At 38.1% G+C, this 17504-nt stretch overlaps 1 protein-coding gene across 4 annotated transcripts in view, besides 1 other annotated feature; it reads left to right on the top strand.

Annotated features, from left to right (window-relative positions):
* The window catches only part of MICU2 (mitochondrial calcium uptake 2), a 111480-nt gene that overhangs the window by 21321 nt on the left and 72655 nt on the right, over positions 1-17504 (top strand). For all 4 annotated transcript variants that reach the window (NM_152726.3, XM_047430142.1, XM_047430143.1 and 1 more), the window contains one exon: positions 15906-16053. In NM_152726.3, coding sequence (NP_689939.1) covers positions 15906-16053 — 148 coding nt within the window. The remainder of the gene's footprint in view (positions 1-15905; positions 16054-17504) is intronic.
* Positions 2657-2776: a silencer, noted in NCBI's record as "silent region_5163". NCBI's record gives its function as "represses an Ori minimal core promoter by ATAC-STARR-seq in GM12878 lymphoblastoid cells {active_cell/tissue: GM12878}" and the evidence as "EXISTENCE:reporter gene assay evidence [ECO:0000049][PMID:35858748]".

Below are 17504 nucleotides of genomic sequence, written 5' to 3'. Positions count from 1 at the left end.
GGGGAAGGGGTTCTTACCCCTGATGCACGTGGCCCCTGCTGCTGTGTCTTTCCCCTATTGGCTAGGGTTAGACCGCACAGGCTAAACTAATTCCAATTGGCTAAAGAGAGTGACGGGGTGAGTGGTTTGGTGGGAAAAACACTTATGGCAGAGCAGGAAATTGGAATGAGTCAGTGTGGAGAATGAGCAGGTAATTAGAATGAGTCAGGGTGGAGCAGGTAATCGAAAAAGGTTGTTTTAGAAGGAAGTTAAGTTTAAAAGTAGAAAGCAAATAATTGAACGTACATATTCTTTGAAGAGAAATTTAGAACTCATATCTAACAAAATAATAATTTATGTTTACTGAAATTCTTTGATATATATCAGGAAGGGGGCTAGAGCTGTTGCTTGTTTCTCAATTCTTTTTTAAAAATTACTTATGTTGGCTTTTTTTCTTATTGAAATACATGTATATTATAGAAAAATTAGGGGAAAAGTCAAAAGGAAACTTGTAAAAAACCATCCTCTTCTTATGATGACTTGAGAAGACTAGTTACTGTTAAAAGTTTTGGCTATTGTATCTTCAGTAGATAGAGTTTTTATAGAAATAAAGCTATTTAGTGCTAAAGCTAAGACATGATTATTGTAGTTCCACATTGTGTCATTAGAGGGAAAGTAAGCTGTCCAGGCCCTTTTGGAGACTAGCCCTTGCCCCTGTCTCCTTGCTCTCCAGTCTCTTGTCACCCGTATTTCTCTTTAGTTGTTTCTCTACTAAAAGCTATAAGTATTTATCATAGTTAATGTGATGGCCACTTACTTATATAGAGCAGGGGAAGGCACCCCGCAGTGGCTTTGTTGCCACATCCAGGAAAAGGTATAGTGAAAACAAAAATCAGAATTATGCAGATATGCATGTAAGGTTTTGTTAAAGACCAAGCTTTTATTAAAAAATTTTGTGTAGCAATGATTTCCTGTAGTTCTTTGCTTTATTTGTGCTAGATAGCAGTTGTGTGTATTCTTTATTTTAATTAATCTGCTTTAGCTGGTGACATTTTTAGACGACCTGGAATTAATAGATTTTACATTTCATACTTAGTCATGTTGGGTAAGCTCTTTTCACTTAAATTTTAAAAGAGACCTTTACTACTAGATATCAAAAAGGGACTGAGTCAAATATTCATCTCAGCTGTTTAAACTTCATTAACTATATACATTATTCTAACGTGCACTACTTAAAATTGAGACATTTTATTTTACTAATTATTGTATTTTACCATTTTATCATTCATCTTTGTCATTTTTCCTGATCTTTGAATAGGGTGTGAATCTGATTATGTGGTAAAAGTTACATACTCTTTCCCAAAAAAATGCACAAACATGTTTCACACAGATTTCAGGGAGTTATGAACCCCAGAAGTATGATTATGTCATGTAAGGTTAACAACCTCTGCTGTAGGCAGAGTAGTGGCTCACACCTGTAATCCCAGCACTTTGGGAGGCCAAAGTGGGTGGATCACTTGAGGCCAGGAGTTTGAGACTAGCCTGGTCAACATGGTGAAACCCCATCTCTACTAAAAATACAAAAATTAGCCTGGTGTGGTGGTGCATGCCTGTAATCCCAGCTACTCAAGAGGCTGAGGCACGAGAATTGCTTGAACCCAGGAGGTGGAGGTTGCAGAACCTCTGCTCTAAATTTTCAGGTTACATCCTTGTCTCTTCCTAGTTCTTAGTATTTATCCTTCACATAAAATGTTTCAAAGGCTAGATCTAAACTTATTTTCCACTTCACTGCTTTGATTATGTCACTATATTACTGCTAATTTTTACCTGCTGTTACCTTCAGATCAGGTAATTGTTGATGTTTGCCTCTTGCTCTTCACTAGTTCATCTCTTTTGTTCTGACTCTGTACATTCTCTATTCTAACCCAGTTAGCCCTGTTTTACTAGCTTATCCTGTTTACACCTTTATAAATGGAACAGACACCTTTGTCTGTTGCCACTAACCTTCATTGTTCAAGGGAGCTTCTTCAAGTTTATTCATCCTCCAGCCTGTAAGTGAGTTGGGGTATTCAAGTTTTCACAGCCTAAGGAGTATACCCATAATTTCAGGAATATTATTAATACTGGTAATAATATTTGTTACTTACATGAAGTTTTATAAAGTTATAAGTTAAGAGACTATCTAAACAATAGCCCATAAATATTTAGAAACTAATTTTAGACTAAAAGTGACAAAATTCATTTGAGTTTTCAAATATTTAAGAGTTACTCTTAAATATTTAAGAGTACTTCACAAGCAATTCAAGTTTGGAGATTTAGGTTGCCTGGATCATTGTAGAATATCAGGCTCTGTCTATTCTAGTCTACAAATGTCTGCTCCCCTCTCTTCCCAAGATCTAACTAGGATTATTCTTGATTATAAAGACACAGGAGTAGATTCGCCAATAAGTTTTAAAAGGGAAAGATTACCCAAATGCTAGCTCTGTCCATGCCTACCCTTAAAAGTATGTATGTAACAACTTATAAACTACAAGTTTTCACTGGTTTTGTTTCTCATATAAGATTCCAAAATTCTTGGGGATCAAGGTAAAGATTTTTCTTTAACCTGCACCAGAGAACTTTGTATTTGGTGTAGACCTCACTGCTGCCTGGGCAAATGCTAACAATTTTACTTAGTATATGATTCACTGGCATAATTTTATACTGCTTCCTGTGCTTGAGGTTAAGATGTAGCACTCACATTTCCCCATTTGACACCAACTGTTGTAAAAGAAAAATGGGTAGAGGCAGTTGAAGGAGAAAAGTGACCCTGGTTCTAGTAGTGGTGGCAATTGAAGTAGTAAAGTGAGAAATTGTTTTCTACATATTTAGTAGTAGTTTTACTTTAGTTATGCTTGGTGCTACTGTAAAGCAAAACAGAAAAATAACCAAAAAAACCGCAAAACTTGTTTGGTTTCCGTCGTTATACTGCAAATTCTGCAATGAAATTTTTTAGAATCTTCACTGTTAAAAGTATCCTCAGAAATTACTGAGAGCATAGATTTTTTTTTCAGTTAATGATGTATTTTATTGGATTATATATTTAATATTTTTTTGAGACCATGGGTATCTTACAAAATATTTCAGAAAGAATAAGGTAAAAGCAGAAAGGGAGACTTTGGCAAATTTGTGCTAGATCTTCAATGATTTGCTCTATATGTGTTCATAACTGATATAAAGCAGAGCTTTGAGTCGGGCGTGGTGGCTCACGCCTATAATCCCAGCACTTTGGGAGGCTGAGGTGGGTGGATCGCCTGAGGTCAGGAGTTCAAGACCAGCCTGGCCAACATAGTGAAACCACTTCTCTACTAAAAATACAAAAAATTAGCTTGGCGTGGTGGCGGGAGCCTGTAATCCCAGCTACTCAGGAGGCTGAGGCAGGAGAATCTCTTGAACCCACGAGGCAGAGGTCGCAGTGAGCCAAGATTGCATCATTGCACTCCAATCTGGGCAACAAGAATGAAACTCCATCTCAAAAAAAAAAAAAAGGCAGAGCTTTGCTTAAATAATACATTAATTTGCCAGAATATTATATAATCATATCTGTATTACTTTATTTTTGTATTGTGCAATTTATATGTTTATTTACTGGTGATTTAATTAATAAACAAGAACAGAAATATGAATTGCATGTATCTTAGTACCTTTGCTGGTAAACTACCTGTTTTGGTATAATATCTGGCTCATTCTTTGCTCATTTCCTGTAAGTACATTTTATTAGCAGAATTTTATCTTAGAAATATCTCATTACAGTCTGTTAATGTACTCCAAGATGAAGCTGAAAAACTCCACTAAAACCTTAATCAACCATGGTATAAGGCCTGAAATCCATCAAGTCATTCATTCAGATTTACAGGAGAATGTGAAGCAGCTGGTGTAATCCAGTTTCAGAGCATTCTGTTTCTAAGATTCCATGATTTCTATGCTTAGCGAAAAATAAGGCAGTATCCTTTGGTACAGTTAACACTGCCACCACCTGTCAATGGCTTTACCTCTTTCCTCTTGTTACAAAGGCATTTTTAAAATCTAAAGTAATTAGCAATATGCAGTAATTTACAGTTAAAGGGAAACTAAAGGGCCCCTATTTGTGTATATCTTTAGTGAGGTTGCACATAGCAGAGTATATACCTGGTTATCTAAAGATATTTCAGTAAATTATTAATAAGGCTTTAAAATACATCAGCATAACCCACTTTTGCATATTGGTTCACAGACTAAAATATTTTTTTTTTTTTGAGATGTGGTCTCACTCTGTGACCTAGACTGGAGTCCAGTGGCGCAATCATGGCTCACTGGCTTACTGCAGTCTCAACCTCGCAGGCTCAAGTGATCCTCCCACTTCAGCCTCCTGAGTAGCTGGGACCATGGACATGTGCTACCATGCCTGAGTTAATTTTTTAAATATTTTTTAGAGATGGGGTCTCCCTGTGTTCCCTAGACTAGTCTCAAACTCCTGGGCTAGAGTAGTCTTCCTGCCTCAGCCTCCCAAAGTGCTGGGATTAAAGGCGTGGGCCACTAAGCCCAGCTCTAAAATTATTTTTTAAGGACACACTTTGAGTTTGGAATTGATTCCCATTCATAAAAACCCATGAATGTTACCATGTTAGCCATGCACTAGGCACTGGGGATACAGAATAAAAAAGATACTTTCTATTCTTGAGGACTTCAATGTAGTAAACAGGCAATTCCAGTGCAGGGTTACTACGGCTTTGATAAAAACTTACTCAGGGTTCTATATGCCCACAAGGGAGGACACCTAACCCAAAATAGCTGCTTCTAGAAGGACTCCTAGAGCAGATAACTACTGGAATTTTTTTCTTTTAATTTATTATTATTATTATTATTTTAAATTTTTTTTGGAGACAAAATCTGTCACCCAGGCCGGAGTGCAGTGGCACAATTATAGCTCCTGGTTACCTTGAACTCGTAAGCTCAAGTGATCCTCCTGCCTCAGCCTCCTCAGTGGCTAGGACTATAGGTGTGCGCCACCACATGTGGGTAACTTTTTTTTTTTTTTTTTTTTTTTTGAGACCGAGTCTCGCTCTGTCACCCAGGCTGGAGTGCAGTGGCATGATCCTGGCTCACTGCAACCTCTGTCTCCCGGGTTCAAGCAATTCTTCCACCTCAGCCTCCCAAGTAGCTGGGATTACAGGTGCACGCCACCACACCTAGCTAATTTTTTTGTATTTTTGTAGAGACAGGGTTTCACCATGTTGGCCACTGGTCTTGAACTCCTCACCTTGTGATCCACCCACATCGGCCTCCCAAAGTGCTGGGATTACAGGTGTGAGCCACCACGCCCAGCCTCATCTGGGTAATTTTTTTATTTGTTAAATTTTTGTAGAAACAGGGTCTTGCTGTGTTGCCCAGGCTGGTCTACAACTCCTGGCCTGAAGTGATCCTTTTCCCTCAGCCTCCCAAAGTCCTGGGATTACAGACATGAGCCACCAAGCTCAGCCCAGAATTAATTCTTAACAAGTAAGTTAGCCAAATTAAAAAGGGAGGCTATATTACATGCTTAGCTTTGTAAGGTGTTTTAATTAGAGGCAAGTAAGTGGTTATTTAATCTGTCTTTTGGAAAGGTTTACTCAAGTTAATGTAAGTCAGTCAAGTGAATGCTGAAGCTCTAAGGACACCCCAGCAAGTCAAATCTGTTTTAGGAAAATCTTGTTAACAGTGATCAAAACTGAGATTGACATTGAAGAGAGCTAGTACTATATTTGTTTTACACACGTTTTGTTTTCTGAATTGTACAAAGACCAATTCAGAAATAATGTCAATGGAATTTTTTAAAAGAAGTATAATTTTTTAAGTAAGAAATTGCAAATCTGCTCCTGAATTCAAACCTTCGTTATTCCATTTACCTGAAAGTTTTAAAATTTTTTGTTCTATTTTTGTTTTGGATAAAATTTCTATTTGTAGAGCAAAACTGTCTCAAAAAAATCTATTTGTGTGCAATCAACATACTTTGCAGGGCTTTTTAAAAAATAATTCCAGTATTTAAGCAAATTTTGTATAGGGTTAGGGGTGGGGCATGAGAGATTTGGTGATAGAGAGGCAAACTGCTATCAGTCAGTATTCAGCCATGAGCTTTAAGAATCCTCACTGTCAGTTTCCTGTAAGCTGGGGAAGCACATGGAGGTGACAGCCATTTGCTGAGGACTGGGGTATGGAAGTCTGAGTGGGTCACAGAAAATGGGGGAGCAGGGCAAAATACTATATGAATGAATCACTTTCCTACTGCAGTCACAAACTGTAAAATACAGCTACAGACTGCAGCTGTTCCCCAAGAAGGGATAGAAGAAGAGAGGGATCCTTTAATCCATCTCCTCTTTGCTTCATACTGTGTCATATATTATAGGATATAATATCCTAAATGTTGTTATCCCTAGTGGTAGCCTCTGTTTATGACTCAGCCCCCCAATAGCACCACTTACTTGAAGTTCTCAGTTTCCAGGAAGTCTTTTTGCATGGGTACATAAGATTCCTGAAATTAGAGCTTATATCACAGAAGTTCCTTGTTACTGCTCTGCATCTACTTCTCAGCTGCCCAAAAAAAAGAGATCACAGTCAAGATAAATCAAGATACCAGACCTGTTGCTAGTTTTCTATTCAAATTTAATTATATAACACTGAAAAATATTAGTCTGTTGCATATCTCATTGTGAAAAGTAAGAAATCAAAATGTCATGGTTGAGAAATAATGTGTGAAAAATACTTAAATTTATCCTCGTGGAACATACACATTTGCTAAATGTTTGTTGTTCCTTTCATACTTCTGCTCTAACATCACCTTCTATTATGCCTTCCCCACTAGGGAGTGAGTTCCTCTTCACCCACCATTTTATCTCTGTAAGATGGTTGGTCATGGGAGACAGGTTTATTAAATAAATTGATAATGTTGAATAGTTGTAGAAAGAGTTCACAAGTAGTATTTTACCTTCTCCTGTGGAGGAAAATAAACTAAAGTAGCTCATTCAATTCTTAAGAAAAATGTTATTTAGTTATAGTTGCAATAAATGATATTGATGATACCTTGGTGGGAGTATTCAGATTTTAAATTAAGGCTCTAGCCTTTTTTTTTTTTTTTTTTTTTTTTTTTGAGACAGAGTCTCACTCTGTCGCTCAGGCTGGAGTGCAGTGGTGCGATCTCGGCTCACTGGAGCCTTGACCTCCAAGGCTCAAGCGATCCTCCCACCTCCACCTCAGCCTCCCAAGTAGCTGGGACCACAGGTGTGAGCCACCATGCCTAGCTAATTTGTGTGTTTTTTTGTAGATATGATGTCTCGCCGTGTTGCCCAGGCTGGTCCCAAACTCTTGGGCTCAAGGGATCCTCCCACTTTGGCCTCCCAACATGCTGGGATTACAGGCATGAGCCACCCTACTCGGCCTAGTCTTTTTTTTTTTTTTAATCATTCGAAACCTAGTTTAAACTTTTTGTTTCAAACAGAGACAGAAATATATGTAGTTATGGTGTACCTCTTGGAAGGTAATTATGGAAGAAGCAAAAATGAGTATTCCGTTCAGTTATTTAATCAGGAAAGAGAAAGCACTGAAAGAGAAGATGCTTGTTTATTTACTCATCAGCATCCCCTGACAGTGGCCACTGTTCTCCAGATAGAAATCTATGGGGTTGAAAAAAAAATTATGTGTGTATGTGTGTCTGTGTGTGTAAGCATATGCCATTTCATTTTACCATCCTCATCTAAAAAAAGCCATGCTAGCTTTCTTCCAGTCTCTGGGACAAAGTCTAGACTAGACCATCATAGATCAGACGATATTTCAGAAGCCAGAGAGAGTAGTTCCTAGAGCTTCCAGGTTTCCCAGGAATGACAGTTGTCTCATTGGCTGTCATTTTGTAGAATGTATTGTGAGGCATAGCTTATGCAGTGAATATTTTTAATTTAGTCTGGCAGTATTTTGTTTCATATGCAATAAAAGCTCCCTAATTCAGAACAAAATGGAAAAGTTGTGTCAAATGAAAATTTCTGATTGTAAAGGTTTCTTTAAGAAGGAAAGATAGTCATCCAGTTACACCACAGAAAGTTCAAAGACAACAGAGCAATTTTATATTTTATCCAGATTATTACAAATTCGAAAATAAAGGCCCCAAATGAATAGGTCTCACTATATTTTGTCTAATGCCATGTATATATATATTGAAAGCTATAGGGAAGGCCCTTTCTTTTCCCACTTTCTTCCTGAGAAATGTGGAGACCAAAGAATGTTAAACAAAGAACAGAGAACTAACTTTTTCCAATATGTCACTTCATGGATAAAAAGTAGAGACAGAGTGGTGAAGCACCTGTTGCTTTAGAGGCAATAAACTAGTGAAATGTTTTAACAGAAGTCATCAGCTTTCAAAGATCTCTTTTATCCAGTTCACATCACTCATTGCTCTTAATTCCTTTGTCACATTTTTTACTGCATTACAAGTAATCCTTGAAATCCATGGAGCATTTTATATATAACTAGAACCATGTGGATGGTTCTCATGTGTTCAGTATAGCCCCAAATCCCAGCATTTCTTCTGCTCCTCTTTTTCCATATATTTAGTAGTAGATGCAGGTTTGAGAAGCAAATCATGGCAATAGAAGGAATCCATCCCTCCACTCCCACCACTTTCCACTTCAGAAGACTGTAAGTTGCATCTCGGGTAGGGATAGGATAACAGCCACCAACAGTCCCTCAGCAGCTCTTTGATCTCCACCACTGCATTCCATACCCTTCCTCTCTTCCTGACCAGCTAGTTCCTCAGGCAGCTGCTTCTCCTGCCAGTCCATTGGTTATTTATATGTAACTGTATACACTGCCAACCGAGTAGGTTTGTAGAAGCAACTTAGGAAATCTCAAATGAAGGTTAAGATTAATATTTTTTGTTCCACTCCTTCTGAAATGTTGTGTTTAACTACAATAAGCAGTTTGAGGTGAGGAGGGACAAAAAATTCTCTCCAATTTTGCAGGTTGAATAGTAGCAGTGCTGTTACCCACCTTGTACTGCTTTTATTTCTCCACATAATATATGAAGGCAATGTGTGCCTTTTCAGAATAATCTTAATTATGTCTAATCCTCTACTGTGTCTTTTTTTTTTTTAATTATTAACTCCTTGGACAACAGTTTTTAAAAGGTTGAATGCAGCGGTCAAGGCATTATGGTTCTAACCTTATTTACATTTTCTGAGAAACTAAAACGGATCAGTTTCCCCTGAGGTCCTCTAGGATTGTTCATACTTAGTATGCTTAAACATAAGATGGCAGCAAGCTGGGCGCAGTGGCTCACACCTGTAATCCCAGCACTTTTATAGGCCGAGGTGGGCGGATCACTAGCTCAGGAGATCAAGACCATCCTGGCTAAGACGGTGAAACCCCGTCCCTACTAAAAATACAAAAAATTAGCCGGGCATGGTGGCGGGCGCCTGTAGTCCCAGCTACTCAGGAGGCTGAGGAGGAGAATGGCATGAACCCAGGAGGCGGAGCTTGCAGTGAGCCGAGATGGCGCCACTGCACTCCAGCCTGGATGACAGAGTGAGACTCCGTCTCAAAAAAAAAAACAAAAAAATGTATGTTAACATTGTTAGAAAGGTGAAAGCATTTGCATCATGTGGTATAATTTTATTTGACATGTAACAGTATTTGACAACCCCAAACTGTCTACCTTTATTTTTCTGAAAGACTACGTCTCCACTCACAGCTCTATTTTCAGTTTATGTAGATATAGCCCTGGTATTTTTATATAACATACATTCTACGAAGTACTTTGAATATATAGTAAAATCAGACAATAATGTTGAATTTATATGGCATTAGTCGAGTATGAGGCGTGTGGTGTATGTGAATCTTCCCAGGTAACTAAAATTAGCTGTGTAAGCAGGAAAACATTTTTTTTTTGTATTATTTACATTAACAACAGCTAAAATGTATTTCATATTTTTCTACATTCTGATATTCCCTAATAATAAATTACTCTGGACAGAAAATCATCACCATGTATAGACCTGGGCCTGTTGATTGGTTGTAATAACATCGATTGGTCCAGGCAATTGCAGCTGTGTCTACTATAAAGAAAAATTTAAAATCCCAGGACCCCCAAACTTAAGCCTGGAGGCTGAATCATGCAACAGTATACTTTAGCGAGGTCCTCCTGGAAAGGAAAAAAGCCTTAGGCATGTGGGAAGGGCTACCCCACAGACTATTCATAAGTAAATTCTTTGCTAGCCTCCCATAAACAAGGACATGCCAATTATAACTTTAGGTATACAGTCTAAGTCTAGCTCCTAAAACTAAAGTGTGTTAAATTCTACACTGATAATGTGAATTACAAATGTATCTCCCAGGGGAAGTACAAAGAGAAAAGGACTACTCCCTTTCTCTCCACTCACCTTATCTTCTGTAAAATGTAGATTCACTTGGCACTAACGGAAGTCTCACAGGAATGTAACCATTCGCCTTACCCCTACCTGCCCCTCTTCCTACATGCCCTCCCTCATTTTAAGGAAATGTATAAATACTAAAACTCCTGAAAACCTCCAGAAAAACAGCCACAGATACGTTTGTAGCTTATGTTTTTCCCGGACACAGCGTACAGCTGGCTTAATAAACCTCAATGATTAAAACTTATGCCACAGTCACTCATTTCACTTGTCACTGTTTTGTATTATTTTTCTCTCCTGCCTTACTGTCAGGCTGTTAGATCTCCCTTCTACCATTAGTGTATTTTAATCTAGCACTTATAATTTAATGTTTTTAATATGGCAGGGTTTTGAAACTAACTAAGTTTATTAGATAGGTAGATTAAGAGTGCTGAATCATGGTATCAGATATCCAATTCCAAATTTCCATATAGGCTCCAGTGTCTTACATATTTGGTGGCTATTTTATAGATTAACAAAAGAAAATGTGAAAATTCATGATGATCTTTGCAGTACTGTATGGCTGCTGTTACTTTGCTCTGTCCATTTTTGTCACATAGCTCAAAGACCCTCTACATCATGAATCTGGCTCCCCAGCTGTCAGAGCCACCTTTAGTGGAGCTTGCTCTACTGCTGTTCCCTGTCTTGGCAAACTCCTGCTCATCCTTTAAGATCCAGTTTAAATATCTCCTACTCTGTTTTGCCTTTCTTTTTTTTCCCCTTTTGAGACGCAGTCTCGCTCTGTTGCCCAAGCCGGAGTGCAGTGGCACGATCTTGGCTCACTGCAAGCTCCACCTCCTGGGTTCACGCCATTCTCCTGCTTCAGCCTCCCGAGTAGCTGCGACTACAGGCTCCTGCCACCACGCCTGGCTAATTTTTTTGTATTTTTTGTAGAGACGGGGTTTCACTGTGTTAGCCAGGATGGTCTCAATCTCCTGACCTCGTGATCCACCCATCTCGGCCTCCCAAAGTGCTGGGATTACAGGCGTGAGCCCCCGTGCCCAGCCTAATATTGATTTTTTTTAAAATTTTAATTTCTATTATTTTTATAGAGACAGGGTCTCACTACATTGCTCAGGCTGGTCTCAAATAACTTTGATATCTTGACGTTTATTATATCTCTTTATCCTCCCCATCCAAACTGATATTCTAACTGTGCTTACTTAAGTCTACAAGCCGTTTTCTTTGCCTTAGCTCAGTTTACCAAGCCTAACCTACCACGAATATGCCACAGTGAAAAAGAGATAACAGAGATTAAAGTAAATGAGTACCCGAAGCAACATGGTTAGTTCAGGGAACATGAAAATAGCAGCAACAAAAAAAAAGCAACCTGAAACCTAAGAGGGAAGAGAAAACTGGGAAAAGAGAGAGCACGCACACGTTACCAGGAAAAGCACACGGAAGGAAGGAAGAAGTGAAGAAAGAAAGGAAAAGAACAGATTAAGAAATAGTTTACATTTTCTGCCAAAGGCTTATTGTAAACTATGTTTTTAGTTGTTCAAGTTATTAATAAGGAATAATTTGGCATGCATTTCCCTAGGCTATAAATTAGCAGCATTTGGACCTTAGCCACTTGTTCCCAACATTTATGTGAAGTAGTTAATAAGCAAACTAGTTAACCAAACAGGGTATGGAACTCAGAAGACATGACTTCTGGTCCTTTACACAGAAGTGTTGGACTAGATGATCTCTAAGTCCCTTTTAACTCTTAAAATTCTATGTCGTATGTCAGTTATAGTCGCAATATGTGTAAGGCACCAGGCCAAATGCTTTGCACAGTACAGTGAAACAAAGATGAAATTTATGCTTCAAGAGTTTAGTTGACAAAATAGACAAAAAACAGACTTTTATTACAGTGCATTCGTGGAAATGATATAATAAGGCACCTTTTTTCTTCTTGGGAACAATATTGTGGTTATTACATTCTTGACCATTAAATCTATCAAGTCTGGGATTTGATCAGAATTATTATAAAAATGAAGTAAAGCAAGCTAAGCCTGACAGATGAATAAAAGGTTAAAAATGGCATTGGCAAATTAATCTTCCAAATTCTATGAAATAAGCATAAATATACACTGCACATTGATTATATTAGTGATCCTTTAAAATGTACTTTTAAAATTCTACTACCGTATAATAAAGATGACCTAAAAAAACTATGTTGGTTCATCAACTTGGAATTAGAAAGGCTCTGGTAATTTCAGAACAATACATGTTTTTTCCTTTACATAAATTTTGTTGTAGCAAAGAAACACATTCAGTGCATCCTACTTACTTTAAATTTGATTGAACTAGAGAAGTAATACATACCATTTAGGAAATGGACAACAGTTAGCCCAGGGACTAAAGGATGACTAATTCTAGTTCTGTTGTTATTTATTCTCTGAAGTTTAGCTTAAATCCTATTCTTTTCATAAAAACTTTCCCAACTACCATTACCCACACTGCTTTTTCTATTTTCCTAATTTATATTATTCTAACAGGAGCTAGTATAGGATCGTGGTTGAGACAGTGGGGTTGATGTCATACTGCCTGTGCTATCACTTACAATCTAGGCAAGCTGGTTAACTTTCACAAGCCGTAAGTGTTTTGTTTTTTTTTTTTGTAAAACGAAGATGACAAAAATGGTGTCTACTATTAAGGGCATTGTGGAGACTGAGTAAGAACATGTATGTAAAGATATTAGCACCCTGCTCTGCATATACTACATACTTAATAAACATTAGATACTATAATACAGAGTATTATATATTAATATATAATACTACAGTATATTATAATACTACAGAGTTGCCCCCTTGATTCTTATGTGTTCTGTCTCTTCCTAGAGTCTCCTCAAATTAGTAAATGCTCAATTCAGTGTTTTCTTCAGAGAAGGTGGGGCTTAGGATGAACAGAAAGACTAATAGTAGGAGATGGTGACTTGGGGGCTTCCTCTGCATATTTCCTAAGGAAAATGGTAGGATTACAATCTGCCGTGGTGATGACCTCCAGATGATAGTTTTGTACTCTATAAGCAGAGCATGAGAGGTAGTGGAAAGGATTAGGAAAAGGAGAGACATTATTAGTGCTGCCAGTGGGAGTTGAAAGGTTTGGGGGTAGTAGAATAGGTTTATTTAGACTATAGAGTAGCAGGAAGGAAAAGCTACCATACCAAAATTAATTGGGGGGATGTTGATAGCGTTGTTGGAAGGTTTTATACCTCACCATGTACTGGTAGAGTCATGGCAGTCGGACAAATTCAGAGGTCATTTTTCTATAAGTGACCTTCTAAATTCATGGTCTGCAATTCAATGACAGCCTCAAGCTCGGAAATCAACCTCTGAAAGAAAGCGAGCCTTAGTTTCAATTCCTCTACCTTTTCTTGTTCGCTACAGGGGATATTTACCCAAAATTCAAAGGAGTGACAGTTCACTCAACCTTTCAACTCAGTAAGATGGCACTTCCCTGAATAACTGACTGAAGCCTCTTCAAAAATGTTATCCTGTATGAGTTATAGGCATGTATAAGCATATAAAAATGGTAACCATAAGATAGAGGAGTTTGTGGGGTCTAAACCTCCTAGAAGAAAAAAAAAACAGAATTTCTTTGAAAATAGTTTTCATGTCTTGCTGTAAGAGAGTGGGAGGTTAGTGTTTTTACTTCTTGATGAGATTTGATATTAGTTAGGACCAGGAAAGAATAAGATTGCTACAAGTTAAAGGACAATCAGAAGAAACATAGAGTTAATGGCCTATCTTGTTATGGCACCAGTAGAGGACAGGGATAAACGAGTAGCTGACCTTTTTTAGTTGGTTGAGGTTTGGAAAGAAGAGTTTGTTTATTTTTACAAAAAGGATCAAGTTGTTGGTTGAAAACATGTATATTTGCCCCACGTTTAAAATGTTCAGAAAGTATCAATAAAATTTAGTTTTCTGATTACGGGGATGGTAAGTGTGGACTTACGTAATTAAAACATTCCCCTTCAGCTATTTTTGTAGTAGTCATTTAAGGGAAAAGAAAAGGAAAGGCATAGGGAAGGTGAGGGTACAGATCATTACAATATTATTGATATTCTGTACACGTGCAATATTCTGGTAGACACTGACAACACAAAAGAGGTGTAAAACTAGCTGCTCAAGGAAGCCTGTTGTCTAATTAAGAGAGAGAATTAATACTGGTCAGAGAACTGAAATCAGCCAAAAGAAGGGGTTGACAGCTTTGAATTAAGAGAGATTTAAGCAACTGGAATTCATGTTTTTCCCATTTCAATTCAAGTCAGCAGTCACTGAACATTGCCTGTGTGTCAGAGAGTATTATAGAATCAGTATTCAGTGTGAAAAGAAGGTGATATGTCCAGGAAGGATACTGTGGTCCAGGTTAGAGCAGTGTCTCAGGAAAGCAATCCAGAATGAAAGCCTGCTATTGGATTTCACAGATAATATGTTCTTGTATCAAGATTCGTGCATTGACATAGGTGTCTTTTAACTACTGTGTCATCTTCCTCCAGTCTCCCTAGTTCACAATGCCCAGTCATGTGTAGGAGGATAGTGTGGTAGTTAAGAGATTAAAACCCTTTGAGTCAGACCTAGCTTTTTAGCCTGCCTCTGCCGTTTACTTTTCAGTTTCTGTATCTACTGCTCAAAGTTATTATGAGGATTAACTAAATAATCTATGTGAATACTTGATTAGTACAGTGCCTAATACATAGAAATGCTCAACAAAAAGTTCTTTGTAAAGATTTCAGCACTCTCTTCATTAGCACTTAGTCAAGGTCTAAGTCCTACTGCCTGAGGTGCAGACTCTTCCACCATATTCCTATATATTCTGCAATATTTTACCCATCCTTCTTCTAGCTCTTTCTACCCATGGTTCTCTCACATTTCTGAAAGCAAAGCTATTTATCTAATATGATATATTTTATCTTTATGAAAGCACAACTTCACATGTTCTGTTGCCCTCCTGACTCTCTTCTGCCACTCTCTTCTTTCCTCAGTCACTCTGGTAACGTGGCCTTTCTGCTGTTCCTTGACCACACCAAGCTTGTTCCCACCTCATGGACTTTGTGCTTGCTTAGAATGCTTTTCTTCCAGAGACCCCCCAACCCCAGGACACACTAACTCCACCTCGTTTAATCTCTCTAAGTGTTACCTCTTCAGAAAGACCTTCTCTGACTATCTTATGGTATTACCACCTTATCCCTTTCTTATCCTGCTTTATATTTCTATGTAGTACTTCTTACCGTTTTACATTATTTTATACATTTATTCATTAATTGCCATTCTCCCTTTTTGGAATGTCACTTCCCTCAAGTTAGTCTTATTCACTATTGTATCTTCAGTGCGAAGTAGGCACTCAGTTAATATTTGTTAAATGAATGATTTTAAAAGTTTGGGGATTGTCAGATCCAAGCGTGAAAGTTACTTTTTAAAGATTGTCCTAGAAGTGACTGGGAATAACACTGAAAAAATCTTCAATTGCAATTTATTTTTCTTTTAGAAAAATGTTGAACATGGAATAATATATATTGGGAAACCGTCTCTTCGTAAGCAGCGCTTCATGCAGTTTTCTTCACTCGAACATGAAGGAGAATATTATATGACACCACGAGACTTCCTCTTCTCAGTGATGTTTGAGCAAATGGAACGTGAGTTGGGTCTTTTTTTTTTTTAATTAAAAAAATCAGACTTCAGGGCTGAAAAACCTGTTTTTCAGGATTGATAACAGCTTTTCTTCATTTTAATTATCATCTTTGTACCATGCATTTGCTTATTTAGACTTTTCTTGTGACACTACTTATACTTTTATATTTATCTTAGAAATAGTTGTTTTGTATGTATGTTTCTCTAAAGAGACAGGAAAAATAGTTTAAGTTTTAATTGCTACTAAATATGTCATTAGTAATTACTTTGTCCATGTTATAAATTGGGCCAAAAAAAAAAATGAAACTAGATTTGAGAAGTTAGGAGAGCTGCTTAATGCAGTCATGATGTCACAGGTAGAAAATCCTGAAAAAAATGAGAAACAAGAAGTTGAAAAACTATAATTACATGATTTTATTTAATAAGCAGCCAACGTGCATTTGTTTCAGATTTCAGAAATTCTTAGTTTTATTATCTAAATTAGTCCTCATTTTGCATAGAGTGGATTTGACCCCATCCTCTGTGCCCATATTGAAGAAGTAGTCTGTGAAAACTTGTTGGCTTTCTGACGCCTTCCTAAGTGTACTGGAATACTCTCTATAAATATGCAGCAGCTGAAATGGGTGAGAGCAAGGTGAGCAGTCAGAGTAGTATAGATTGAATTCAAAAAGGCTGAGAGAACATGGGACAGCATTATAAACATTGAGGGATGATGAACAAAAACGAAATGAGTGATCATGGTGTATTCTAGGGACAATAAATTCAGTGATCACTGGAACAAAAGGATTACTTTAAGCAGTAGTGAGGGATGAAATTGAAAAACAGATAAGGTCTGGATTATCCAGAAGACTTCAGTGGCCCTCTCCAACCACCAGATGAATGGTATTTGGCAGGGATGAATGGCATTGAAGGTTTGTGAGCAGAAAAATAAGGTGGTAAAAATATGTTTAGGGTTTTGTTTGTTTGTTTGAAACAGAGTCTTGCTCTGTCTCCCAGGCTGGAGTGCAATGGCATGATCTCAGCTCACTGCAACCTCCGCCTCCCGGGTTCAAGCAATTCTCCTGCCTCAGCCTCCCGAGTAGCTGGGATTACAGGTGCCCACCACCATGCCTGGCTAATTTTTGTTTTTGTTTGTTTGTTTTTTGAGACGGAGTCTCGCTCTGTCGCCCAGGCTGGAGTGCAGTGGCGCGATCTTGGCTCACTGCAACCTCTACCTCTGGGGTTCAAGCGATTCTCCTGCCTCAGCCTCTCAAGTGTCTGGGATTACAGGCACGTGCCACCACGCCCAGCTAATTTTTTGTACTTTTTAATAGAGACGGTGTTTCACTGTGTTTGCCAGGATGGTCTCAATCCCCTGATCTCGTGATCCACCCTCCCCGGCCTCCCAAAGTGCTGGGATTGCAAGCATGAGCCACCGCGCCCAGCCTTGTGTTTTTAGTAGAGACAGAGTTTCACC

The sequence above is a fragment of the Homo sapiens genome, chromosome 13, assembly GCF_000001405.40.
Source record: "Homo sapiens chromosome 13, GRCh38.p14 Primary Assembly".
Taxonomy (NCBI): domain Eukaryota; kingdom Metazoa; phylum Chordata; class Mammalia; order Primates; family Hominidae; genus Homo; species Homo sapiens.
Note: the sequence above shows the minus strand (reverse complement) of the source record. Positions and strands in the feature narration are given on the sequence as shown.